A 27,428-nucleotide genomic window follows, 5' to 3' on the forward strand; every position below is an offset into this window, starting at 1 on the left:
CACCTCAATTGGCCCCTGGATTTGTCCAGAAAAAGCACTGACCATCTTTTCCCCTGACCACCTCCCAAAGAGCCTCCTCTTGTCTCAATTAGAAAGCCCACCCAACCTGTCCTATTTGCCTCTTAGTTTCTTTTTTCTCTGAAGCCCTCAGAGCCCATAGAACTGCCCCCAACACCGAGCTGTGGTTCAGAATCCTGCCTTTCCCTCTCCCATGGATGCTCACAGTATCAAACTCTCCCTGCCCTGGGACTTTAGAAACTGCTGCATTATATCCACAGAATCTGCTTGATCAAACTGCTTCTAAGTCTGGGTCCCTTATCAATCCACAGGGACTCTGAAGAGTCTCCCATCTCCTGGGGAGAGGGTGATGGAGGAAGAGTCAGAAGGCCCAGTGTCTAGTCCGGTTAGAGCTCCTTCAGGTCAGCAAGGCCTACGGCAGGCCAAGGCTCCAGCTCAGAAAATCAGGAGGCAGCTGGGTGTGATGGCTCACACCTGTAATCCCAGCACTTTGGGAGGCTGAGGCGGGAGGATTGCTTGAGCCCAGGAGTTTGAGACCAGCCTGGGCAACATGGTGAAACCTCACCTCTACAAAAAATACAAAAATTAGCCGGGCTGGGCATGGTGGTGTGCGCCTATAGTTCCAACTACTTGAGGGGGCTGAGGCGGGAGGATCACTTGAACCCCAGAGGTAGAAGCTGTGGTGAGCCGAGATTGCACCACTGCACTCCAACCTGGGTGACAAAGTTAGACTCTGTCTGAAAAGAAAAGAAAAGAAAAGAAAAAATCAGGAGTCAGGAACATTCCATTGTGGACCTCTTAGCTCAGCTCTGCTCCTTTCAGAGAAAAACCTCAGCAGTTACTAGGGGAGCTTTGCTAATGTGGAAGTCCCTGGTTCACTAGAGAAATTGTGTCTTTTGTGCAAATTGACCCAGCCATCACTAACTCATAAACCATCTATAGCAAATGTGGTCATTCATTGTAAAGACTAAGATCTGACTAAAATTTTTGTTTGTTTCTTCTCTCTTCCATAGGGCGGTCCAGGCGGTTCTAGCACTGGATTTGGAAACTTTGAGGAAATTGGGCCCCTTGACAGTGATCTCAAACCACGGAAAACCACCTGGGTACAGTGAGGACAGTCCTGAGCTAAACCTTGCCCCGTGGCCTCTCAGAGGCCCTGCCCAACTCTGGGAGGGGCCACAAATGTAGCAATCCCTCGCTGTCCTTTTCCTTTTCCTGTGACTACTGAGGCCATGGGCACTTGTCCGCAGGCTTCCTCTCTGGCCTAGCTTCTCTCCCATTTCTCAGGACAGCTTATCTTGCACCAGTCTGCCTCGCCTTCTCCAAAACAACCCCTCTCTCCAGCTGCCTTCAAAAACCTACTACAGCAGACACCTGGGACCCTGTGTTATGCACGCTGGCCATCTCCGCGGCCTCAGACACCATGGTTGCACCCTCCAGCCACAGCCCCCAGTCCTTTTCTCTCTCTCCTATCCTCCTACTTGTATCTTGACTTCCCCTTTCAATGTCTCTCTTGCTGCCCTTCTCACACCTCCCCCTCATTCTTATCGTCTCTTCCTTCCCTCACCCCTCTGTGGTCAACTCCCATATCCTTCTCCCTTTACAGCCTTGCCAAACCCAGCCTTGGGTCACTCCCACTGTCCACCTGCTTAGCCCTTACGCCCAGGCTGCCCATGGGCAGAACTGCACACCCACCCTGGGGCTGCTGCACAGCGTGGGCCCCACTCAGGGCTTGTGGCTGTTCCTCTCTCTGTGCTCCCACTCTCCCGGCTGCACCTATTGCTATGAATGTTCTCCACTTTCCTCAGTGCTCCTCCTCCAGCCTCCCTCTCGCATTAGAAGCTAAGCTTTCTGCTCTTTTTTTTTTTTTTTGGAAATGGAATGTCCCTCCGTCACCAAGGCTAGAGTGCAGTGGCACGATCTCAGCTCACTGCAACCTCTGCCTCCTGGATTCAAGCGATTCTCCTGCCTCAGCCTCCCGAGTAGCTGGGATTATAGGCATGCGCCAGCACGCCCGGCTAATTTTTGTATTTTTAGGAGAGACGGGGTTTTACCATGCTGGTCAGGCTGGTCTTAAACTCTTGACCTCGTGATCCACCTGCCTCAGCTTCCCAAAGTGCTGGGATTACAGGTGTGAGCCACTGTGCCCGGCCACTTTCTGGTCTTTCTTTGTTTTTTTTTTTCTGTTTTTTTGTTTTTGAGACAGAGTCTCGCTCTTTCGCCCAGGCCAGAGTGCAGTGGCGCTATCTCGGCTCGCTGCAAGCTCCGCCTCCCGGGTTCACACCATTCTCCTGCCTCAGCCTCCTGAGTAGCTGGGACTACAGGCGCCCGCCACTGCGCCTGGCTAATTTTTTGTATTTTTAGTAGAGGTGGGATTTCACCATGTTAGCCAGGATGGTCTCGATCTCCTGACCTCGTGATCCTCCCACCTCAGCCTCCCAAAGTGCTGGGATTACAGGCGTGAGCCACCGTGCGCGGCCTCTGGTCTTTCTTAAGTGCTTCCTACTCTTGCCTCAGGGTCTTTGTACATGCTGTCCTCTTGGCCTGGGCCTTTCCTGTGCTTGGTTCCAACAGAAGTCTCACTTCCAGGAGTGGTTGTAGAGTCATCCCCTACCTCCACTCCCCACCCCCATTGTCCCCAAGCCTCCTAGAACTAAAAGGGCCATATGAGTGAGGACCATGGTCCCAGTCCTGATGCTGCCACTGCCTGTCCGATCTTGTGACCTTAGGCACATTCTGGGCTCTTTCTGGGCTTTAATTTCCTCATCAGCAAGGGACATGGCTGGACTGTGTCATTATTCAGGATCTTTTATATGTAAATTTTATAACTTTCAACCTCTTTGGAAAAGGTATTAGAATAAATTCTGCTCTTGCAGTGTACAGAGAAGCCAGGACAATGTGGAAATTTGATGCATTTCCAAGAAAACTGATGTGTGTCCAGACTTTGAGTGTCCTCTGGCTTCTTCGAGTTAGTGCATAGACTGTCTCTGCATGCTTCTTTCTGCGCTAGTTTATTACATTTAGTACATTTGTATTGTATGAAAAGCAACAGCCCAGATTATTTGATCCCCGTGTGTGTTAATCTTTCCTTCCTGCCTCTCCCTTTTTTTTTTTTTGCGGCGGCGGGGGCGGTTGGCCTTTCTTTGTTTTTGTTTTTTTTTCTATGTTCCTGTCCCTTATTTTTAAAAATCTCTTTTAGCAACAGGGATATCATCACCACGCTGGTATCCTCACATGTGTGGGTTTTGCTGAGCTAGTAGAAAATGATCCAAAGATGATTGGTGACCAAATGTCTGATTGCAACATTTCGTTTTCCTCCGTGGTACATAGCTCCAGGCTGCCAGTCTCCTATTTGTGGATAATCCCGTGGGCACTGGGTTCAGTTATGTGAATGGTAGTGGTGCCTATGCCAAGGACCTGGCTATGGTGGCTTCAGACATGATGGTTCTCCTGAAGACCTTCTTCAGTTGCCACAAAGAATTCCAGGTAAGCAAAGACTCAGGAACAGCTAAGTAAAGGGCTGGCAATATCAACTCTACATCCATCAGCATAAACCTGAACTGCCTCCAGAGTTTAATGCCTAGCTGATTTCAGAGAAAACTTTTTAATTCCCAAGATTGGGTTGTGGACTTTTGTTTCTGTCATCTCTAAAGTTGATATTTAACTTGAAAGAATGACCTTGGAGTGAGCATTCTAATCAGACGCAATAATCAGATATGGAGTGGTGGGGGAGGAAGACAAAGCAGATTTGTTTTTTCTGGTCATTACGTGCAATAGAAATTTGAAATTAATTTGTGTGACTCAAAAAGCAATCAAGGTAGTTAATTCTGTGTAATTCCTTTTCTTGCTAGACAGTTCCATTCTACATTTTCTCAGAGTCCTATGGAGGAAAAATGGCAGCTGGCATTGGTCTAGAGCTTTATAAGGTAATGGAAAATAACTTTGTTGTTATGGTTTTGGACAGAAAATCAATTATGTTACTTTTATGTACTCACGTGCTATTAAATATACTTTGAATAGGGCCATGTACATGCAGAGTACGATTAAATCTGTAGTAATAACCATAAAAAGTTTTTAAAAGAAGAATGAAGATTGCCCTGCTAGATCTGGAACAAGATATAAAGCATGAGTGAGTAAAAGAATGTGGTACTAACATAGCAATAGACAAATAGGTTAATTGCAACAGGATACAGAATCCAGAAACACACACACATATATATGTATGTGTATCATATATTTGTATTTTATATAAATATATATGATCATATATAAATATAAGATAACGTTTCAAATCATTGGGGCATGGATATAATGTCGATAAATGTTATGGAGACAAATACCTATCACTTTGGAAAATAGAAAACTTGTATTCCTGCCTTGTATAAAATATTAATTCTGGATGGATTAAAATCTAAACATAAAAATAAAAATAATGGAGACAAATACCTATCACTTTGGAAAATAGAAAACTTGTATTCTTGCCTTGTATAAAATATTAATTCTGGATGGATTAAAATCTAAACATAAAAATAAAAATTAGGACAGAATGCAGTGGCCCACGCCTATAATCCCAGCACTTTGGGAAGCCCAGGCAGGAGGACTGCTTGTGACCAGGAGTTCCAGACCAGCCTGGGCAACATAGCGACACCCTGTTTCTACAAAAAAAAAAAAAATAATAAGCTGGGCACAGTGGCTCCTGGCTGTAATCCCAGCTACCTGGGAGGATGAGGTGGGAGGATCGCTTGAGCTCAAGGAGTTGAAGCTGCAGTGAGCTGTGATCATGGCACTGCACTCCAGCCTGGGTGACAGAACAAGACTGTGTCTCAGGAAAAAAATGAAAACAAAAACCAAAACCAATGTCCTAGTAGAAAAATGTGGACAAGCAATTTGTAGAAGAAATATAAACAGCCTTTAGACATAAGAAAAATCTTCAGCTTTTATTAGTAAGCCAAGTCCATGAGATTTGTAAATATTTAAAAGACTGATAACACCCAGTTTTGGTAAGAAGTCAGGGAAATAAGTGCTGTCGTGCACTTTTGATGGGAATACAAATTAATTTAAATTTAAAAGGACAATTTGACAATGTCAATTTTTTAAAGATATGTGTCATTTCACCCAATAATTTTGTCCTATGGGAATACTTATACATATGTATATGTCAGAGAATGTTTATTATGCCATTGTTTATAATGTTTATAAACTGAAAACAGCTGGTTGGCTGTCAGTAGAGGATTGCTTAAATAAAGTAGGTATATCTTTCCAAGATGAAACCCTTTGCAGCCAGCATAAAGAATGGATCCAGGCGGGCGCGGTGGCTCATGCCTGTAATCCCAGCACTTTGGGAGGCCGAGGCCGGCAGATCGCTTGAGGTTAGGAGTTGGAGAGCAGCCTAGCCAACATGGTGAAACCCCATCTCTACTAAAAATACAAAAATTAGCTGGGCATGGTAGTGCACGCCTGTAATCCCAGCTACTAGGGAGGCTGAGGCAGGAGAACTGCTTGAACCCAGGGAGCAGAGGTTGCAGTGAGCTGAGATTGCGCCTCTAGTCTGGGTGACAGAGCGAGACTCTTTCTCAAAAAAAAAAAGAATGGATCTTAGCACTTTGGGAGGCTGAGGTAGGAGGATTGCTTGAGATCAGGAGTTAGAGACCAGCCTGGACAACATAGTGAGACCCCTGTCTCTACAAGAAAGAAAAAAGAAAGAATACAGAGAGCTATATATACTGAGTGTGGAAAGTTCTCCTTTGGGTATTTAGTTGTGGAACGATATGAGATAACTTTGTTTGTAAGTCAAAAACACTTCCATATGTGGAGATAGATTTGTATGCTGTGACGGCAAACAAAAGGGTTAGAAGGATACATGACACACTTAACTGCAGTCAGTTGGTGAGTGTGAGGGCACAAATGAGACAAAGTAAAAGACTTTCACATTTCCTTCTATCTCCTATGTTTGAATATCAGTGAGCTTAAATAAGGGTTTTTTTTAAGATTTATTAATTTAAAAAACTTATAGAAACAGCATATGTACATTATAGAATATTGGAAACTGTAACAAGCATAAATTAAAAATGAAAACTTCACCTTCCCACCTGATGGAGATCACTATAGTTAGCATCTGGGTATATAGCTTTCTAAATATTTTTGTGCACATTTATATAGAATTGTTTAGCTGAATGAGATCATATTATACATACTGGTTTCAGCCTGCTTTCTTCAATCAGTAGTTCTCAACTTTCTATTTCTGTAAATTTTCATCTCAAATATTCAGACTTTTTCTTTTTGAGACAGGATCTTGCTGTGTTGCCCAGACTAGAGGCTGGAGTACAGTAGCATGATCATGGCTCACTCCAGCCTCTGCCTCCTGGGCTCAAGTATCCTCCTGCCTCAGCCTCCCGAGTAACTGGGACTACAGACGAGCACTACCGTGCCTGGCTAATTTTTGTATTTTTTTGTAGAGATGGGGTTTTGCCATGCTGCCCAGGCTAGCCTCGACCTCCTGGGGTCAAGTGATCCTCTGACCTCAGCATCCTGGGTATCTGGGACTATAAGGCACATACCACCATGTCCCACTGATTTTTTAACTTTTTGTAGAGATGGGGGTCTCACTACATTGCCTAGGCTGGTCTTGTATTCCTAGGCTCAAGCGATCCTCCTGCCTAAGCTTCCCAAAGTGTTGGGATTACTGCGTGAGCCACTGCACCTGGCCTGAGGACGTTTCTTGTTTCCTCTTTCAGGCCATTCAGCGAGGGACCATCAAGTGCAACTTTGCGGGGGTTGCCTTGGGTGATTCCTGGATCTCCCCTGTTGGTAAGTGTGGCATTTTCAGGCATTTTTTCACTCCCCTTTTGCCCATCCTTTCCTGGGACTTTGGGCTGTGTTGTCCAGATCAAAGAGCTAAGCAGGAGAATGTTCTGGGCCCTTAGAGAAAGTGTTTGCTACATCCAAGAAATATAGAGACAGAGTGCCTACCATGGACCACTAAGGGCTGAACTGAGTTTTCTTAATTTAATTATCACAACAAAAGGATCAAATTTTACAATTGGAGGCATTCTGAAGACTCAGAGAGGTCAAGAAATGTGCTATCTGCCACGTAGGATGAGTGGCCTAGTCAGGATTCAAATCCAGGTCTGTGCTGCTCAGTACAAAGGCAAATCTGTTTTGTCATCCTGCCCCCTCTACTTCCCTGATGCTGACATAAGTGTTTGGGGTAAAATTCCCGTCTGTTACGCATATTGATGGCAAGACAAGGTTATCGTCTGGTCTTGCAACTCAGAAGTGTGCAGTTTTGTAATTGAGCATCCGTGTTGCGAGCATAAATAAGAGTTGTTTATGTTGCAGACACCCAGGGTGTGGCCCCAGACATCTGAAACAATCATCCTGGTGGCGTTCACTCTAACACAGGGTTTCTCAGCACTGTTGACATTGTGGGTCATATAGTTCTTTTTGTGGGAGGCTGTCCTGTGCATTGTAGGATATTATCAGCAGCATCCTTGGCCTCTACTCAGGAGATGCTAGTAGCACCGCTCCAGTGTGACAACCAGAAATGTCTCCCTGGGGAACAAAACCATCCCTGATTGAGAACCATTGTTCTAACCTAACAAAACGTGATTTCCCCAGGCAAAACCAAACTATCGAGTTAGAAATCAGAAGAGAGGCTGCCTAGGGGCAAAGGAGGGAAATAAGCAGGAAAGGTACATGAGGGAAATATATCTTGATTGCAGGGGGTGGTTACACGGGCATATGCATTCATCAAAACTCTTCTGAAGGTACACTTGTGATTTGTGATTATGGCTCAGTTTTTTAAAAATAATCATTTATAAAAGGTAATATTTACCCCTAAAAGATAGGGATTTGCTTGTTACAGAGCCATATTCCCAATAACCATTACGACTTGGAATAGTATTTCTTGCCCTCATGTTTGCCATCTGCAGGGTAGGACTGAAGTAGCATAAAACTGAGTCAGCATGAAGAGGAGGGCTGCTATTCGTTTATCTGTCTTTCCTTCCTGGATGGATCTCGTAGGACATCATAAAACTGCAGAAGCTTAGAGAAGCATGAGAGTTTCTTGTCAGATACTGCTCTTTTGTTCATGTTGATGGCAAGACAAAGTCTCCATCAGGTCTTGCAACCCAGAGGTGTGCTGTTTCATAACTGAGCATCCTCACTGGGAACACAGATAAGAGTTGTTTATGACTCAAAATTATGATGCTGGCCCTCTCACTTCCTCATGGGGTCTCCTCAGTTTCACAGTAGCACTAAGTACTTTACATGTGCTAACTTCATGTAATCCTTACAACAACTCCATGGGATGGATGCTATCATTATCCTAATTTTGTAAATGATGAAACTGAGACTTAGAGAGGTTAAGCAACTTTCTTAGAGTCACCTAGCTAAATGGTAGAACTGGGATTCAAATCCAGGCAGCAGGTACTGGAATCCAAGCAACCTAACCACCTTGCTACATTGTCTCTCCAAGATCAGTACGTTTCGCTTCCTGGCTTTGCAAGTGTTATTCATTGTGTTTGGAATCTACCTTTTTCTCCTTGCCGTGACCCACTTTACCTTATGAATCTGTTTGTCTGGATCGTAATCCATCCTTCCAGATCCACTTTAAGTATTGCCCCTCTATCCCAGAAACATTGGTTTTTGAGGGAGAAGTATTGTTAATTTCCATGAACAATTGTTAATTGCTTGCTAGGTAGTAGATACTGTTCTAGGTGCTAGGAAAAGATACACAGATAAGCTCCTGATCTTCAAGAAGGTCTTGATCTGCACTGTCACTAAGCCCATGTGACCATGTCAGTATGGTAACCACTTGCCACATGTGACTATATAAATTTAATTATAATTTTTAAATACAATTTCATTTTTTCAGGGGCACTCTCTACACCCAAGTGCTCCATAGACACATGTGGCTATTAGCTAGCATTTTGGACTGCACAGATACAGAACACTTCCATTACTGTAGAAAGTTCTATTGAACAATGCAGGCCTACTTCAAAGATTGGTAAACAAGGGCCCATGAGTCAAGTCTGCCCTGCCGCCTGCTCTGGTAAATAAGTTTTTGTTGTTTGTTTGTTTTTGTTTGTTTGTTTTGAGATGGAGTTTTGCTCTTGTTGCCCAGACTGGAGTGCAGTGGCACGATCTCGGCTCACTGCAACCTCCGCCTCCCAGGTTTAAGCAATTCTCCTGTCTCAGCCTCCTGAATAGCTGGGATTACAGGTGCCCACCACTACGCCTGGCTAATGTTTTTGGTATTTTTAGTAGAGATGGGGTTTCACCATGTTGGCCAGGCTGGTCTCCAACTCCTGACCTCAGGTGATCTGCCCACCTCGGCCTCCCAAAGTGCTGGGATTACAGGCGTGAGCCACCGCACCCAGCCGGTAAAAGTTAATTTACTGTCTATGGCTGTTTGGAGGCTGTAAGAACAGAGTGGAGTAGTTCAACCGAGATAGGCTGGCCTACCAGGCCAAAATTATTTACTATCTGTCCCTTTACAGAAAGTTTACCAGTCTCTGGCCCAGATCAAACAGGAAGTGGGATGCATTGGAGAACTGCAGCCAATCCTGTGTTTTAAGAAACTAAGAAACAAGTTTGAAGGTTAAGCCCGGGAGGTGATTAACAGCTAGGCCACGGAAGTCCTGGTGTGCTTGCATTTCTCAGAGAGTACTCTAAAAGAATACCAGTCCAGGCCAGGTGTAGTGGCTCACATCTGTAATCCTAGCACTTTGGGAGACCAAAGCGAGCAGATTGCTTGAGCCCAAAAGTTCGAGACCAGACTGGGCAACATGGACTTAGTTCCTGCAGAACTAAGACTACTTGAAACCTACTTTGAGACACTTTGCCTTAAGGAGCCATTGAATACTTTTAAGCTAAGGAGAGACATACTCAAATGTGCTTTATAAGTTGAGGTCCTTGATTCTTTGTTGGCGTGTCTTTCAATAGCACTTGTCTTACCTAGTGATACAGTATTTAATAGTTGTGAGCTTGTCTAAACCAAGGTCAACTACTATTCTCTTTGAGGACAGGCATTATGTTACTCACATTTATATCTTAAGCTTTTGCTGCCTCTAGACCCTTAGTAAATTCTCAATATGTTTGTGGGATGGGAATAAGCCAATTGGCAATATAGCCATTTGCACTGTTGCAAACTCATTAGTCATCTTCCTTATTTAGCTCCTTGGCAGAAGCTAATATCTCCAAACTGGAGGAGCAAATAAGATGTAGAGCAGAAATGTGAGGGTGGGGAAATATTTTAAGCTGTCAAAAGGCCTAGAGGTCCACAGATAAGAGCCTCCACCTGCATACCTACAGCCTGCCTGTGGGGATGCTGTCATCGGCAATGACTCACTTGCTGGACCAGTATCAGGCCAAATTAATGTGCCATTAGTCTTAAGAGTCAACAGAAAGGCCCCCACACCCTTATCCCACCTTCCAGACACTGAGACATCAGCCCGCCTCCTGCATGGGTACAGGTGAATTGAGGAGCCTTCCAATCCAAAGCCACCGGGTTTCTTGCTTCTGTCTCTTTCTTCTTTAGAGAGAAGACAGTAGGTTTGTCTTTGGAAAGACAGAGGTATGACATACTTGATTTGTACATATGTGATTTCCTTTAGATTCGGTGCTCTCCTGGGGACCTTACCTGTACAGCATGGTAAGTAGATACACATCTGCACCCTCTGGGCAAACAGCCCAGCAGATCTCTTCTGGCTGTGACCCCAGGAAAAGAGATGCTGGATGAGTTTGCCTATGTGGTTGACACTGCTTTTTAGGGACTAGTCATCCACATAGAGTTGGAGACCCAAAGCAAGAGCTCGCCTCAGGGACAAATTGAAAGAAAATCAGCACACATCACTTTTTTCCAGATATAAGAAACACATTTTTCCAATGCCCTAAATTTTTATTACAAAAATTTTCAAATATGCAGAAATGTTGAAAGATCACGGTGAATACCTACTTAGGTTCAGTTAACAATTTGCTGTGTTTCATCCAATAAACATGTGGCTTGTAACAATACACTTTGATATGTGAGCTCCCGTTCTCCTTCCTTCCCCTCTTTCTCCTACCCCTCCCTAACTGCAGCAATACCAGATTGACGTTCCCAAGTAAAGTGGGTCTTTTTGCTCTTGGTTTGCATTCCAGTCTCTTCTCGAAGACAAAGGTCTGGCAGAGGTGTCTAAGGTTGCAGAGCAAGTACTGAATGCCGTAAATAAGGGGCTCTACAGAGAGGCCACAGAGCTGTGGGGGAAAGCAGAAATGATCATTGAACAGGTAAAAAGGGGAAACACTCAGAGGCGAGCCTGCTTGGCTTTTTCTGGTGGGTACAGGGCCCATGGTTGGTGTTGTCAAACTTGGAGTCTACACTGAGGCTCCCCACATATCTGCAAATGATTGCATGCTGGATAATAAATCTCTTGGGTCTAAGCAGTGATGTAGTGGCTCCTTACAGAGTCAGAAAGCCACCCAGGCCTGCAAGACTTGCTTGTCCTTCACTAAATGTATGGATTCTATTAAAAAAAAAAAAAAAAAAGACTGTCTTGCAGAGGTGAGTGTGTGGAGAAAACACATTCCCTTATTGGGACCCTTGCCAAGCAACATTCTGACTCCAGAGAGCCAGAAGGAAAGAATGCGTAGGCTAAGGACTTGGGAGTGTAGGCCCCTCTGCAGCTCTGTTCTCCCTGTAAATTAACACCTAGGCCCTTGGTTTTTTCCCTGCAGGGCCTGATCACTGCTCATATGAGATGCTCACCACTCCAGGGAGAGTGGGCTGACACAGCTGGTTTCTGAGACTTCAGAGCTGCATTTCTTTCTTTATTTTATTTTTTACTTTTTCTTTTTTCCTCTATTTATTTATTTATTTATTTATTTTTGAGACACTCGCCCAGGCTGGAGTGCAATGGCACAGTCTTGGCTCACTGCAACCTCTGCCTCCTGGGCTCAAGTGATTCCCCTGCCTCAGCCTCCCGAGTAGCTGAGATAATTGGCACGCACCACCGCACCCAGCTAATTTTTGTATTTTTAGTAGAGAAGGGGTTTCACCGTGTTGCCCAGGCTGGTCTTGAACTCCTGACCTTAGGTGATCCACCCACCTCAGCCTCCCAAAGTGCTGGGATTATAGGCGTGAGCCACCGCGCCTGGCCTCTTTTTCCTTTCTTTCTTTTTTATTTTTTTTTGAGACTAAGTCTGGCTCTGTCACCCACACTGTAGTGCAGTGGCCCGATCTCGGCTCACTGCAACCTCTGCCTCCTGGGTTCAAGTGATTCTCATGCCTCAGCCTCCAGAGTAGTTGGGACTACAGGTGAGCACCACCACGCCCGGCTGATTTTTGTGTTTTCAGTAGAGAGGGGTTTCACCATGTTGACCAGGCCGGTCTCGAACTCCTGGGCTCAAGTGATCCACCCACCTCAGCCTCCCGAAGTGCTGGGATTACAGACATGAGCCACCAGGCCCAGCCAAAGCTCTATTTCTTTCTGATCCAAGCAGATATACAAAATTAAACCTGTCCTTGGATAAGATAAAGAGCCATGTGTCCTTCTGTTTGGCAGCTTTGATGATAGGAAAATGAAACAAACAGCCAAATAAACTTTTATATTTCAGAACACAGATGGGGTGAACTTCTATAACATCTTAACTAAAAGCACTCCCACGTCTACAATGGAGTCGAGTCTAGAATTCACACAGAGCCACCTAGGTGAGTGAACCTTGAAGTTATTAAAGTCCCTGCCTCAGCCTCCATGCAAAAAGAAACCTGTTTATTAAAAAAAAAAAAAACTTTATTAACATATAATTTGCATACCATAAAATTAACTCACTGTAAGTGGTTTTCAGTATATTCCCAGAGTTGTGCAGTCATCACTACAATCCAGTTATGGAGCATTTCTGTCACCCCAAGGAGATCCCACGTGTCTGCTTGCAGACAGTTCTCATTCCCACTCCCAGCCACAGGCAACCACTCATCTGCCTTCTGTCTCTCTAGATTTTCCTTTTCTGAACATTTTATATAAATACAATCGCACAATAGTTAGTCTTTTGCACTGGCTTCTGTCACATAGCATGATGTTTTTGAAGTTTAGAAACCAGCTTCCATACACCAAATTACAACATCAGTTCAAGACTGAATTTAGTCATCTTTCAGCCAACCAAGAAGCATATAAAGGCTGCAGGATACCCTAGGTTCCACTTTCTAGATGATTCTCTTTGGCCGTTCTGGAGAATCCCAATGGCCCCCAAGTCTATAGAATGTATAATCAATACTATTAGGTTGGTGCAAAAGTAACTGTGGTTTTTGACAGGTTTCAAGAATTATTAACTCACAACTAATGAAGCATTATTTCCCTTCCCACCCAGTTCCCTACCAACCCCTTATTTTGAACCAATTTTGACAAATCTATTTTTTCCCTTTTTTTTTTTAAGAGATAAGGTTTCACTCTGTTGCCCAGGCCAGAGTGCCATTGAATTTGAGAAATTCTGCCATTACTTTTAATGGCAAAAACCGCAGTTACTTGTGCACCAACCTAATAATAAAGCCTCTCCACTTTCAATGTGTTTCTGACTTCCTTCCTCCCGCTGGGGGTGAATCAAGGTGACGCTTTTCCTTTTCCAGCTGAATCTGAAACCCTCCCTCTTGCTGTGCAGCATCCCCAGCAGCTTGGTAAAGATGTCCTCATGGCCAGGCGTGGTGGCTCACACCTGTAATCCCACCACTTGGGAGGCTGAGGCGGGTGGATCATGAGGACAAGAGATCGAGACCATCCTGGCCAACATGGTGAAACCCTGTCTCTACTAAAAATACAAAAATGAGCTGGGCATGGTGGCGGGTGCCTGTAGTTCCAGCTACTCGGGAGGCTGAGGCAGGAAAATCGCTTGAACCCAGGAGGCGGAGGTTTCAGTGAGCCGAGATCGTGCCACTGCACTCCAGCCTGGAGACAGAGAGAGATTCTGTCTCAAAAAAAAAAAAAAAAGATGTCCTCTTGGCCTTACTTCCAGCCCTTTGACTCACTATCTACCAGTTTGGTTTTAGTTTGTCTTTGTCAGCGCCACGTGAGACACCTACAACGAGATGCCTTAAGCCAGCTCATGAATGGCCCCATCAGAAAGAAGCTCAAAATTATTCCTGAGGATCAATCCTGGGGAGGTACTTATATGACCTAATTAAGTGCCGTTTGTACAGTTATGGGGAGAAAAGAGGTGCAAATTCAGAGACCTGAATTTGTAGGGTGGGTTTTGTTGTTGGTGATGATAGGTTATAGGTAAACAATATTACTATCCACGTTTTGTAGGTGAGCAAATAGATACAGAGACAGTAAATGACTTGTCAGGGCTGGATGCAGTGGCTCACGCCTATAATCCCACCACTGTGGGAGACTGAGTTGAGAGGATTGCTTGAGGCCACAATTAAGCAACATAGTAAAGCCCCATCTCTTTAAAAAAATAGAAAAATTAGCTGGGCATGGTGGCATGTGGCATATAGTTCTAACTACTTGGGAGGCTGAGGTGGGAGGATTGCTTGAACCCAGGAGTTTGAGGGTACAGTGAGCTATGATTATGCCACTGCTCTCCAGCCTGGGCAGCAGAGAGAAACCCTGTTTCTTAAAAAGGGGAAAAAAAAGACATCAAAATTGATTCAAAATAAGGAGTTGGTAGGGAGCTGAGTGGGGAGGGAAATAATGTGTAATTGGTTGTGAGTTAATAATTGTTGAAGCCTGGTATGGGTACATCGGAGCATTGTATGCTTCTCCTTTCTATCCATTTGAAATTTTCCATAATAAAAAATTAAGATAAAAAAGCTACATCGAAGGCCACAGTTGGTTGCAGATGAGATTTCGCGCCAAAGGTCCTTGCAGGATGTCAGAGACACCCAGGTGCTCGGGCAGATTTTGACCAGCTCTCTCTTGCTGACCTCCCCAGGCATCCTGATGCTGGATATGGCCAGGCATTACTGCGTTCTGGTCTCAAGGCCATGGTGAGGAAATAATGAAATCCTTAGAGACCAGGGCCAGGTAGAAATCTTGGTTAAGTTCCTACTTTAGTCCTATAGGGAGGCCTTGAGCAAGCAGAGATCTCAGGTTTCTGAAGGGAAAATACTCCAAACCTAAGAGGGTTTTGTTTCATGTGTGTTCAAGATACCCCAAGGATATGGGGTCAGTGGTCCTGCGGCTGCTGCTGGGAGCCTACGATTTGCTGCTGCTGGGAGCTTTCTCAGGGGACATGGGCCCTCCTCTCCCAACCTGCAGTCACCAGAGGTCTCATTCCATCCCTGGTTTTTTCATTACTCCTGAGTGCTGGGAGAATTTTAGAAATGAAGAAAAATTAGCTCAAATGAAAAGAGCTGGGTGTGGCCGGGTGTGGTGGCTCACGCCTGTAATCCCAGCATTTTGGGATGCCAAGGTGGGCGGATCACCTGAGGTCGGGAGTTCGAGACCAGCCTGACCAACATGGAGAAACCCTGTCTCTACTAAAAATACAAAATTAGCTGGGTGAGGTGGCACATGCCTGTAATCCCAGCTACTTGGGAGGCTGAGGTGGGGGAATCGCTTGAACCCGAGAGGCAGAGATTGCGGTGAGCCAAGATTGTGCCATTGCACTCCAGCCTGGGCAATAAGAGTGAAACTCTGTCTAAAAAAAAAAAAAAAAAAAAGAGCTGGGCGTGGTGGTGTGCATCTGTAGTCTCAGCTACTTGGGAGGCTGAGGTGGGAGGATCGCTTAAGCCTGGGAGGTAGAGGCTGCAGTGAGCTGAGATTGTGCCCCCGCTCTCCAGCCTGGGTGACAGGGTGAGACTCTGTCTCAAATAAGTAAATAAATAAATAAAAATTAAATTTTTTTAAAAGAAGACTTCTTATCTCCCAAGGTAATGAAGAAGAAAATGGGATGTTGCTTGTCAGATGCCTCCTTGGCAGTGACTAGCAAATAATGGTGGCTGCCACTCTTATTGCTGTCATTCAGTGTTAGGATAATGCTGATGGGCAGGAGCTAGCAAGAGTACTAGCTCCTCTCTTGCCTGGGGCTTGTTATTCATTTGGCTTTCCTGAGGGCCAGCTCTGAATTGGTTTAGGTTTGATCTGGTTTATTATAAGGTAGGCCTACCTGTTCAGAACTTGAAACTTGGCCCTGGTGTTACTCAAAAAAACAGGAAAACTGACATTGGCCCAAAGCACAATTTATTCCCTGAGTGTACCAGCCTAATGAGTATTTCCTGGGCCTCTCCCTCCCTGTTTCCTTGGACAGTAGCCTATTCCAGGTGTCAATTCCTCATTAAAAATGGTGCCTGCTGTCATCACAAGCTCTCAAGAGAATGGACCACATGTGCTATTTATGTGTGCCTTACACCTGACCAGTCGGCACAAATTTCTGGGCTGGTTCATCCCTGTTTGTGAAGCATCTGTGCATTCAGTCGTTGTTCGGTGCTGGAGCCCAAGATGCTCTGGGCTGAAAGGTACCTCCTGTTTTGGCAGATTCCAAGCTACTCCCTCTTTCTCCTTCCCCATGTGCAGGCCAGGCTACCAACGTCTTTGTGAACATGGAGGAGGACTTCATGAAGCCAGTCATTAGCATTGTGGACGAGTTGCTGGAGGCAGGGATCAACGTGACGGTGTATAATGGACAGCTGGATCTCATCGTAGATACCATGGGTAGGAATTGACTCTGAGAGGCACCTAGAGGCAGTTTTATGGGTTCAACTGGAAGGGAACTGGCCTTGGACATGTCAGTCTTGCGGTGGGTGATGTTGAAATGCCAGGTGGAAGGCCATTTCCCATTACATCCGTCTACCCCGACCTTGATTATTCAAAGGGTGGGGAGCTGCACGTGGCTGTGACCCCTCAGAAGCCTGAGCCTACCTGGGTTTGGGGGCCCTTAGGTATGATTAAAGAAAAGAACACCACCTGTCTCTACCACAAAACTTAGACATTTTCCTGGTTATTGGGCAAATGCGCTGTTTAATTAAGGGAGAGCCTCATTTTTGTGCGACATCACAGTCGATGTTGACCACTGCAGAGTGAATTAAAACTAAACCCTAATGACTGTAACCCTGAAGACCCAGGGGAAATGGTCTTTGTGGAATCCTGACTCCTGCCCTATCACCTACCACCTGTTTAATTTGCTCACTTCCAAATTAAATAGGGCCTGGTGGAGGCTCAGAGACAGGTTCTCTGAACTGGCAGGGTAATTGAGGCACAAGGTCTGACGGATGTGACACGCCTCGTGAACCAGAAGGATTGAATATTTTTGTGATGGGTAAACAAGAGACACCAAGGACAATTTGGAAAGCTGCTGCATTTCTCGATGAACATCCCAGGTGATCCTTATCACTATCTCGTTCACGACATCTCTCAGTCCTCCTCACAGGCCTGTCTGCCTCCAGAGGTCCCCAGTTCCCTTCCTAAAGAGCAGATGGCGGTGAGAGATGCAGAGGCAAAATCAGTCAGGCTTTGCAGCTGTTAGGTTTCTCCCAGCAGCCTAGGTTTCACTGGGAGTCAGAAATGCAGATGCTCAGGCCCTACCCTGATCTTCTGAATCAGAATTTGCATTTTAACAAGATCCTGAGTGAGTTTCATGCATATTGCAGTTTGGGAAGCACCAACTTTTAGGACCTAGACTTTTTTCCTATTCTATCCAGCTGTTAATGCCAGGCCTTTCTCTTTGTCCTTCTCACCAGGTCAGGAGGCCTGGGTGCGGAAACTGAAGTGGCCAGAACTGCCTAAATTCAGTCAGCTGAAGTGGAAGGCCCTGTACAGTGACCCTAAATCTTTGGAAACATCTGCTTTTGTCAAGTCCTACAAGAACCTTGCTTTCTACTGGATTCTGAAAGCTGGTCATATGGTAAGAAAGAGCTTTTGTTCCAGACTTAAAAATCATCCTGAGAGGGAAGCCACAGGCGGTTATTATGCCTCTGTCCACTGCCCAGGTGGGTCTTGTAGGAAGTACGAGGGCCCGAGGGCCAGGTACAGTGGCTCATGCCTGTAATCTCAGCACTTTGGGAGACCAAGGCAGGTGGATTGCTGGAGCCCAGGAGTTTGAGACCAGCCTGGGCCACATGGAGAAACCTTGTCTCTACAAAAAATATGAAAATTAGGCCAGGCACAGAGGCTCATGCCTGCAATCCCAGCACTTTGGGAGGCTGAGACGGGTGGATCGCTTGAGCTCAAGAGTTCAAGACCAGCCTTCGCAACGTGGCGAAACCCTGTCTCTACAAAAATTTACCAGGTGTGGTAGCACATGTCTGTAATCCCAGCTACTTGGGAGGCTGAAGCACGAGAATCACTTGAACCCGGGAGGTGGAGGCTGCAGTGAGCCGAGATAGCACCACTGCACTCCAGCCTGGGCAACAGAGTGAGACTCTGTCTCAAAAAAGAACAAAAATCAACCGGGCACGGTGGCGCATGCCTGTGGTCTCAGCTGCTCAGGAGGCTGAGTGAGGTGGGCAGATTGATTGAGCCTGAAAGTTAGAAGCTATAGTGAGCCAAGATCATGCCACTGCACTCCAGCCTGGGTGACAGAGCGAGACCCTGTCTCAAAAAAAAAAAAAAAAAGAAAAATTAAAAAAGAAATACTTAGGGCTTGGGAGTGTTTTGAGTTTCCTAACAAAATTCCGCTATTAGCACTAGAGACTGCGAGCACAAGGGTGAGTGGTGCCCAGTCCCTGTCCTCAAGGAGCTTGTGGTCTAGAGACAGACAGGCAAGGAGACTGTCAACAGCTGGCTTGGCCCAGGGAAGGGTGCCCTGCCCAGGCATGCAGATCTGGAAGATTGTGCCCCACGTGATGCGTAGGAGTGATTTAAGGAAAGAGGAGGAGGTGGGGAGCATGGAGAGCAGTGAATACAAGGTCCACAGGAGCCTCAGACAGCGAGGACTTGGAATGGACACTGGAGGGAGGTGGCTGCAGAGGGGGAATTTTCATACCACTCTAAGGAGTTCAGACAGTAGGGCACCAAGCAGGGGTTTTAAGCAAAGGAGTGAAATTAACAGATTTGTCCAAGAAATACCATTCTAGCAGTAGAGGGCATGGGGCAAGCCTGGGGCCAAAGACCAATCAATGAGGCTGTCAGGTAAATCCAGAAAGGAGGAAAGTAGATGGATTTGGTGAAGTGTAAAGAAGGGAAAATTGGCAGGACTTGGTAATCATTTGGGGTAGAAAAGAACTGAAGGGTGGCTTGCAGGTTTCTGCTCCAGCATTGTGGTTTGCGATGGAGGGAATTTGCACAAGCTGAGTTTGAATTGCCTATAGAACAGAAGGCAGAAGAAGAGCCTACAAATGAGACTGAGAAAGGAGCAGCCAGATAAGTGAGAAGGGAGACCAGGGATGCGTGGCATCCCCAAAGCAGGGAGGGGCCCGCAGTGCTAAGTGAGAACTCAGGGGAAGGGCTGAAACGTGAGTGATGATGTGCTTACACCGATGTCCTTGGCACCTGCGTTGGTGAGATATTTTGGTGAGGTGGCAAGCTCAGAAGCCAGATTGGAAAGACTGGAGAAAATGAATGAGTAGTGAGGAGAAGAGACAGTAGCTTCCTTTAAGAAGCCAGAGAAAGCAGCCCACTCTCAAAAGACACTTAATCTAGGCTGGGTATGGTGGCTGACACCTGTAATCCCAGCATTTTGGGAGGCGAAGGCAGGTGGATCACCTGAGGTCAGGAGTATGAGACCAGCTTGGCTAACATGGAGAAACCCTATCTTTACTAAAAATACAAAAATTAGCTGGGCATGATGGTGGGCACCTGTAATCCCAGCTACTCAGGAGGCTGAGGCAGGAGAATCGCTTGAACCTGGGAGGCAGAGGTTGCAGTGAGCCAAGATAGTGCCATTGCATCCAGCTGGCGAGATAGCGCCACTGCACTCCAGCCTGGGCAACAGAGTGAGACTCTGTCTCAAAAAAGAACAAAAATCAACTGGGCGCGGTGGCGCCTGCCTGTGGTCTCAGCTGCTCTGGAGGCTGAGTGAGGTGGGAGGATTGATTGAGCCTGAAAGCTTGGGTGACAGAGTGAGACTCTGTCTCAAAAAGTAAATCAATAAATAAACAAATAGACTTAATCTAAAGGGAGAACAAACAAGGCAGCAGGGCACAGAGGGAGAGGGCATTATTTATGGCTCTCAGGATCTGAGTACCTTCAATATTGACTAAAAGAAAGAAAATTAGAACGTCTTAGAGCAAGCACTGTTACAGGTTGAGTACCCCTTATCTGAGATGTTTGGAACCAGAAATGTTTCAGATTTTTAATTTTTTTTTTATTTTGGAATATTTGCATATCCATAATGAGATATCTTGGGGATGGGACCCAAGTCTAGGCAATGGAATTCATTTATGTTTCATATACACCTTATACACATAGACCGAAGGTACTTTCGTACAATATTTTAAATAATTTTGTGCATGAAGCAAAGTTTGTGTGCACTGAGTTATTAGAGAGCAAAGGGTGGCTATTTCAGCCACCCATGGCTCTTCAACCAATCTGTGGTTGTTAGGCATCATATCATTTCTGACTCCAAATTTATATGCTGCCGATAAGCAATCTTTTTCTTGCATGTAGTCACACATAAGTACTTCACAGTAAGAAATACAACATACCATTAATACAGTGGAAAAGTTGTGTGTTCAGAGTAACTGAGCAGCACAGTAGCATGACCAGAATACCTGTGTCAGCTGCTAGACAACAGCAACAGCAAGCAACAGCAGCTTTCGGTCTCTACCTACAATGCTGTGTTTTGATTAAAAGGTTACTGTACTGTAACCCCCTTGGGGATGCAGAAATAAACTGTGTGTTGTGCGCCTGCATTTTGAATGCAGCCGCCCATGGGGCAGGTGTGAAATGTTCCACTTGTGGCCTCATGGTGGCACTCAAAAAGGCTGGAATTGTGGAGCATTTTGGATTTTCCAATGAGGGATGCTCAGCCTGCCCTAGAGAGAAGTCCCTGACGAGGCTGGTAGGAAGGCATGGAACAAGCCAACCACGCGCTCTGTATACTAGAGTTCAGGCCCATTTCCTGTTGGTTTGTCACATATAGAACAACAGATCAGTTGGGGACAGGCTTAAAATAGCCCTTGGAGACTGTTGTTAAGTCGTCCCCAAACCACTTCCCCTTTCATTGATTAAATGACATTTTAGGATAACCCACCTTGCCTGTGCCTCCTGGGGACTCTTGGCAGAAGAGTCAAGGATGGGTGTGCCATAGAGAATCATGGAGCCAGGGAATTACATAACGGGGAGACCATATACTCCAACCCCTTCTGTGTAGGGAGAAACTGAGGCCTCTGCCCTTCCCCCTTTTGATGCTGTGTGGGAAGGAAATTTTAAAGGACTTATTCTAAAAATCTGAGGGAAAACAAAAGAAAGTTGAATAACTGCGAAAATCGGATGCCACCCAAAGGGCCCTGTTTGTTTTTATTATTTGCGGCTCTCTGCTGTGAGCTCCCTTCTCAGCCATTTCTCTATTCTCAATCCGGGATCCCTTCTAGACAGATGCCTTTAAAATGTTTAGAATCTTCCTTCTTCCTTGAACAGGCTAGGTCTAGTATCATTAGCATGACCCTTACCAAGAAATCAACAGATCAGCTCCAAATGGAGTAGAAGGTTCTTGTCTTAAATGCTGACTTCTCCAGGTCCCTGCCACCCAGCCCAGTCAGGGCCCAGAAGAGCTTTCATCCAGTGCAGGAGTCATTTTCAGGAAGGACCCTCTCTCAGGGATGTGCCCAGGTGTCTGCACAGGTTGCTGTCACAGAGCTGGCTCCCTTTTGGGAGCAAGGTTTCAGGATGTTGCCTCTGACCCCAGCCCCAGGAATAGCACCAGGAGCACTAACTCAGATGTTGTTTTTTTCTAGGTTCCTTCTGACCAAGGGGACATGGCTCTGAAGATGATGAGACTGGTGACTCAGCAAGAATAGGATGGATGGGGCTGGAGATGAGCTGGTTTGGCCTTGGGGCACAGAGCTGAGCTGAGGCCGCTGAAGCTGTAGGAAGCGCCATTCTTCCCTGTATCTAACTGGGGCTGTGATCAAGAAGGTTCTGACCAGCTTCTGCAGAGGATAAAATCATTGTCTCTGGAGGCAATTTGGAAATTATTTCTGCTTCTTAAAAAAACCTAAGATTTTTTAAAAAATTGATTTGTTTTGATCAAAATAAAGGATGATAATAGATATTATTTTTTCTTATGACAGAAGCAAATGATGTGATTTATAGAAAAACTGGGAAATACAGGTACCCAAAGAGTAAATCAACATCTGTATACCCCCTTCCCAGGGGTAAGCACTGTTACCAATTTAGCATATGTCCTTGCAGAATTTTTTTTTCTATATATACATATATATTTTTTACCAAAATGAATCATTACTCTATGTTGTTTTACTATTTGTTTGACATATCAGTATATCTGAAACACCTTTTCATGTCAATAAATGTTCTTCTCTAACATTTTTAATGGCTGTGGAGCATTCTACTTTATGGTTGTACTCTAGTTTATTTACAAAATTCCCAGTTGTTTCCGACAAGTATAATAATTTCTAGTTTGTTGCTATTATACATAGTGCTCTGTTGATTCACCCTGATAGTTAGATTTTTTTGTACCTCCTTATTTTCTTAGAATAAATTCATAAAAGTGTAATTATTTAGTCAGAGGATTGCCACATTTCCTTAAAATCAAAATAATTAGCTCAGGACTTTTAACTTTTTATTCATAGCTCAAGATCTACATAAGGAGGTTTGATGCCGTGGCTCACACCTATAAACCCAGCACTTTGGGAGGTCGAGGCAGGAGGAATGCTTGAGCCCAGGAGTTCAACAACAGCCTGGGCAACATAGGGAGACCCCATTTCTACAAAAAAAATAAAAACATTAGCCGAGCATGGTGGCACACACCTGTAGTCCCAGCTACTCAGGAGGCTGAGGCAGGAGGATCACTTGAGCCAGGGAGGTTGATGTTGCAGTGAGCCATGATCAAGCCACTCACTCCAGCCTGGGTGACAGAGACCCCATCTCAAAAAGAAAAAAAAATCTGCATAGGGGATCTAACAGCTTCTAGGACTGTCTGAAAGAAATATCACCTCTTGTAGTTGCAGGGCTGAGATTTTATTTATTTATTTATTGAGACTCTGTGACCCAGGCTAGAGTGCAGTGGCACAATCATGCCTCAAATGATCCTCCTGCCCCAGCCTCCCAAGTAGCTAGTACCACAGGCAAGCACCATCACATCCAGCTAATTTTTAAAATTTTTTCGTAGAGTTGGAGTCTCACTATGTGGCCCAGGCTGGTCTCGAACTCCCAGGCTCTAGCAATCCACCTGCCTTGGGCTCCCAAAGTGCTGGGATTACAGGCATGAGTCACCAAGCCTGGCCAAAGGCTGAGATTTAAAAAAACAGCCAGGCACGGTGGCTCCAGCCTGTAATCCCAGCACTTCGGGAGGCCAAGGCGGGCAGATCACGAGGTCAGGAGATCGAGACCATCCTGGCTAACACGGTGAAACCCCATCTCTACACACACACACACACAAAATTAGCCAGGCGTGGTGGCGGGCACCTGTAGTCCCAGCTAGTTGGGAGGCTGAGGCAGGAGAATGGCGTGAACCCGGGAGGCAGTGCTTGCAGTGAGCCGAGATCGCGCCACTGCACTCCAGCCTGGGCAACAGAGCAAGACTCTGTCCCAAAAATAAATAAATAAATTAATTAATTAAAAAAAATAACAAACCCAAAGCTTATTCCTGCAGACTGTGAGGAAACAGTTAACAGCAGGTTATGTCTACGTGACTAACCCCTTCAGACCCTGAGACTAAAAACAGGCTCCTGGGACAGAGACTACACATGTCCCTATGGTTCACTGTTGGCAAGAACTCCAGTGTGCCCATGGAAAGCAAGAACCTTAGAAGCCTGTGCTGGATACCCCTGGACATCACCCATGTGTATCGTTTTTACCTGCCGCTTTTGATATGCATCTTTTGTTACAAAAATGTTAGCTATTAGTATAACCTGCTACTGAGCCTTGTGAGTCTTGGTGAACCATCCAACAAAGCAGTGAATCATAAAGCAAGTTGAATTCCCAACCTCACAGAGTCTCTTCTGTTAAAAGTTAGTGCATTGATTGAGAAGAAATGTAATTCTGAACATTGAGATGAGTCACCTGCACAGATGAAGCTAGGGGACCTCAAACCTTTTTGGCCATTAGAAGCCGCCCTTCCATTGCTGTCCGGGCAGGTTAATCATGTCTTGTCCTAAGATCTTGTAGTAAATTCCTAGACTTGCCCAGGGCTCTTATTCCTGCTGTATAACATTCTCTCTCAACCCACACCCCTACCTTCCTAGGGAATCCCTGTGATCAGTTGACAAAGGAAGACAACTCTCAGGCTTGATTTACAGACGGGGCTCCACAGTATGCATGCATCACCTGAATGTGGACCGCTATGGCACCACGGCCACACTCCAGGACAGCCCTGAAAGATGGTGTGAAGAGAAATCCTCCCAGTGGACAGAACTTGGAACAGTGCACTCAGCTCTTCACTTTCCCTGGAAGGGGAAATGAACAGAAGAATAAGTGCACCAATTCATGATTTAGCTGGGTATTTAGGGACTTGGAAGAAACTTGATTAGAAGGCTGGGCACAGTGGTTCATGCCTATAATACCAGCACTTTGAGAGGCTGAGGTGGGAGAATCCCTTGAGTCCAGGAGTTCAAGACCAGCTTGAGCAAGATGATAACACCCTGTATCTACAGAAAATAAAAACATTAACTCAGCATGTTGGTGCACCTCTGTGGTTTCAGCTGTGTAGGAGGCTGAGGTAGGAGAATCACTTGAGCCTGGCAGGTTGGTTGAGGCTACAGCGAGCCATATTTGTACTCCAGCCTGAGTGACAGGGTGAGACCTTGTCTCAAAAAGAAAAAAAACTTGATTAGAAAATTGATGACAAGAAGCTCTGAGGAAGAGGTATGAGATTAGATCTCTGAATGGCCGAGTATGAAGATCATTGTTTTCCATCTGAATACTCAACTAGGGCAAGGGAAGATTTTAATAATCAGGTGGGTAGATGACCCATTCTGTGGCTATTAGCCTCCTTCAGCCATTCCTGTAGACTCATGAACAAAGTGGCCATGGCGGCGGGGATGGAGGCTATGCATGGGCTTGGCAACATGTGCTTCCACTTACTAAGGGTGACCTGGTCACAGCCACTGCTGAGTGCCCCATCTGCCAGCAGAAGAAACAACACTGAGCCCCTAATGTGGCATCACTGCTGAAGAGATCAGCCGGCTACCTGGTGTTAGGCTGATTACATTGGACCACTTTTATTATGAGGCAGGCAGCACTGTGTTTTCAATGGAATTAACCCTTGCTCTGGACATAGATGTGCCTTCCTTTCCCACAATGCTTCTGCCAAAACTAGCATCTGTGGACCTACGGAGTGTCTCATCCATGACTATGGTATTCACAGCAAATGAAAGGCAGCAGTGAATTTACACAAGTGGAATTGACTGCTCTCACCATGTTCCCCATCCTCTTGAAGCAACTGCCCTGACAGATGGTTGAATGACTGAAAATTCAGTTACAGGGCCAGCTAGGAGGGGATAGATTGCAGGGCTGGGGTGCTGCCCTCCAGTATGTGGTACATGCTCTAAATCAACCGCCTTGTTTCTCCCATACCCAGGATTCATGAGTCCAGTTATCAAGGGATAAAAATGAAAGCGACTCCTCTCACTGTTAACCCTAGTGATCCAGTGGTAGAATTTTTGCTTCCCATCCCTGCAACTTTAGGTTTTGCTGGTCTAGAGGTCTTAGTTACAACGGGAGAAATGTTTTCTCTAGGAGACACAGCAGATAATCCGTGGAACTGGAGCTTGAAGCCACCATCTGGCCTCTTTGGGCACTGCATCAACAGGCAAAGTGCTGTCTGCAGTGATTGATCTGACTATCAAGAGGAAATGGGGTTGCTCCTACACAATGGACGTAAGAAGGAAGAATGCAGGAGATCCTTTGGGGCACCCCCTAGTACTGCCATATCCTGTGATTAAGGTCAATGGAGAGCTACAACAACCCAATTAAGACCGCTAATGGCCCAGACCCTTCACAAAAGATTTAAGTCATTCCATCAGGCAAAAAGCCACGACCAACTGAAGTGCTTGCCGAGGGCAAAAGATACGCAGAATAAATCATAGATGAGGGCAGTCATAAGTACTATGACCTTGTGACCCACTGTAGAAACGAGGACTGTAATAATTATGAGTATTTCTTTCTTCTTTTGATGTGAATCTATTTTAATAAATATTAACAAAAAAACTTTTTTTTTTGAGACAGGGTTATGCTCTGTCAACCAGGCTGAAGTGCAGTGGCACAATCACAGCTCACTGCAGCCTTCACCCCCCACCTCCCTGGGCTCAAGTGATCCTCCCACCTCAGCGCCCCCAGTAGCTGGGACTGCAGGCATGCACCACCATACCCAGCTAATTTCTGTATTTTTTGTAGAGATGAAGTTTTACCATGTTGCCCAGGCTAGTCTGAAACTCCTGGGCTCAAGTGATCTGCCCGCCTCTGCCTCCCAAAATGCTCTGCCTCCCAAAATGCTGGGATTACAGGCATAAGCCACAGCTGCATCTGGTGAACCAAATATTTTTGTTTTTATCTCTCATTCCTTTATCGTCTCTGATGTGCTAATAGTATTTAACCTTTTTTGTTTTTCTTTTTTAAGACAGGGTCTTGCTCTGTCACCGAGGCTGCAGTGCAGTGGTGCAATCACGGCTCACTGCAGCCTCAATCTCCTGGGCTCAAACGATCCTCCCAGGTAGCTGTGACTGCAGGTGCATACCATTGTGCCTGGCTTTTTTTTTTTTTTTTTTTTTTTGAGACAGGGTGTTGCTATGTTACCCAGGCTGGTCTTCAACTCCTGGCTTAAAGCAATCCTCGCAGCTTGGCCTCCCAAAATGCTTGTACCTAACTTTACATATAAATATTTATATTACAAGATGTCAAGGAAGGAATGTGAAACAGCTAGTAAAAGAATGAGCATCATCCAAAGACAAAAAGTGGACTCTGATTCTCTTCTGGGGAAAAAGATGTGTATTTCTGGGTATAGGAAGGACAGTTGTGTCATGGTAAGCAGAGTATGACTTTGTTATTGACTTTATTTGGAGATTAAGTGTGGTTTAAGGCAATGTTATGGGTGCCAAGTTGACAAGGGGTGGACTGTAGTGTTTTTGTAATGTTTCAACTTGCCTAGGCTAACTTTTTCAGAATTACCTTTCTTGTATGTTTCTGATTAGGGTGGCCCACAAGAGAAATTCTTCGGAAAATGTGGAGGGTGAAGTGAAGCAGCAACAGTTTTTCATTCATGCATGTTATCGTTTTTCTGCTGGCTCAGCTCAGCTGAGCTCAGCTGCTCCCCCTTCCCCCGGATCCTCCTAGAGCATGTCTGCTTCCCGGGCCAGGTGAGTGTGCTTAGCACTAAGAGGG

At 45.4% G+C, this 27,428-nt stretch overlaps 1 protein-coding gene across 3 annotated transcripts in view, besides 2 other annotated features; it reads left to right on the forward strand.

Moving 5' to 3' along the window:
* The window catches only part of SCPEP1 (serine carboxypeptidase 1), a 28,638-nt gene extending 6,216 nt beyond the window's left edge, over positions 1 to 22,422 (forward strand). The window contains exons 3-13 of one of the 3 annotated variants that reach the window (NM_021626.3): positions 1,032 to 1,121; positions 3,349 to 3,504; positions 3,870 to 3,944; positions 6,753 to 6,825; positions 10,635 to 10,672; positions 11,161 to 11,289; positions 12,616 to 12,709; positions 14,039 to 14,152; positions 16,509 to 16,646; positions 17,672 to 17,835; positions 21,827 to 22,422. In NM_021626.3, the coding sequence (NP_067639.1) occupies positions 1,032 to 1,121; positions 3,349 to 3,504; positions 3,870 to 3,944; positions 6,753 to 6,825; positions 10,635 to 10,672; positions 11,161 to 11,289; positions 12,616 to 12,709; positions 14,039 to 14,152; positions 16,509 to 16,646; positions 17,672 to 17,835; positions 21,827 to 21,889 (1,134 nt within the window). In that variant the 3' untranslated portion in view covers positions 21,890 to 22,422. Of the gene's footprint in view, positions 1 to 1,031; positions 1,122 to 3,348; positions 3,505 to 3,869; positions 3,945 to 6,752; positions 6,826 to 10,634; positions 10,673 to 11,160; positions 11,290 to 12,615; positions 12,710 to 13,621; positions 14,153 to 16,508; positions 16,647 to 17,671; positions 17,836 to 21,826 lie in introns of those variants that run through there. The other 2 variants (XM_005257557.4, XM_047436509.1) reach the window with 2 other exon arrangements.
* Positions 25,635 to 26,264: an enhancer, noted in NCBI's record as "OCT4-NANOG hESC enhancer chr17:55087342-55087971 (GRCh37/hg19 assembly coordinates)". NCBI's record gives its function as "activates a minimal SCP1, AML or CMV promoter by ChIP-STARR-seq in naive H9 embryonic stem cells {active_cell/tissue: H9 hESC(naive)}" and the evidence as "EXISTENCE:reporter gene assay evidence [ECO:0000049][PMID:30033119]".
* Positions 25,901 to 26,100: an enhancer, noted in NCBI's record as "active region_12423". NCBI's record gives its function as "activates an Ori minimal core promoter by ATAC-STARR-seq in GM12878 lymphoblastoid cells {active_cell/tissue: GM12878}" and the evidence as "EXISTENCE:reporter gene assay evidence [ECO:0000049][PMID:35858748]".

This window comes from Homo sapiens, chromosome 17 (assembly GCF_000001405.40).
Source record: "Homo sapiens chromosome 17, GRCh38.p14 Primary Assembly".
NCBI classification, from domain to species: domain Eukaryota; kingdom Metazoa; phylum Chordata; class Mammalia; order Primates; family Hominidae; genus Homo; species Homo sapiens.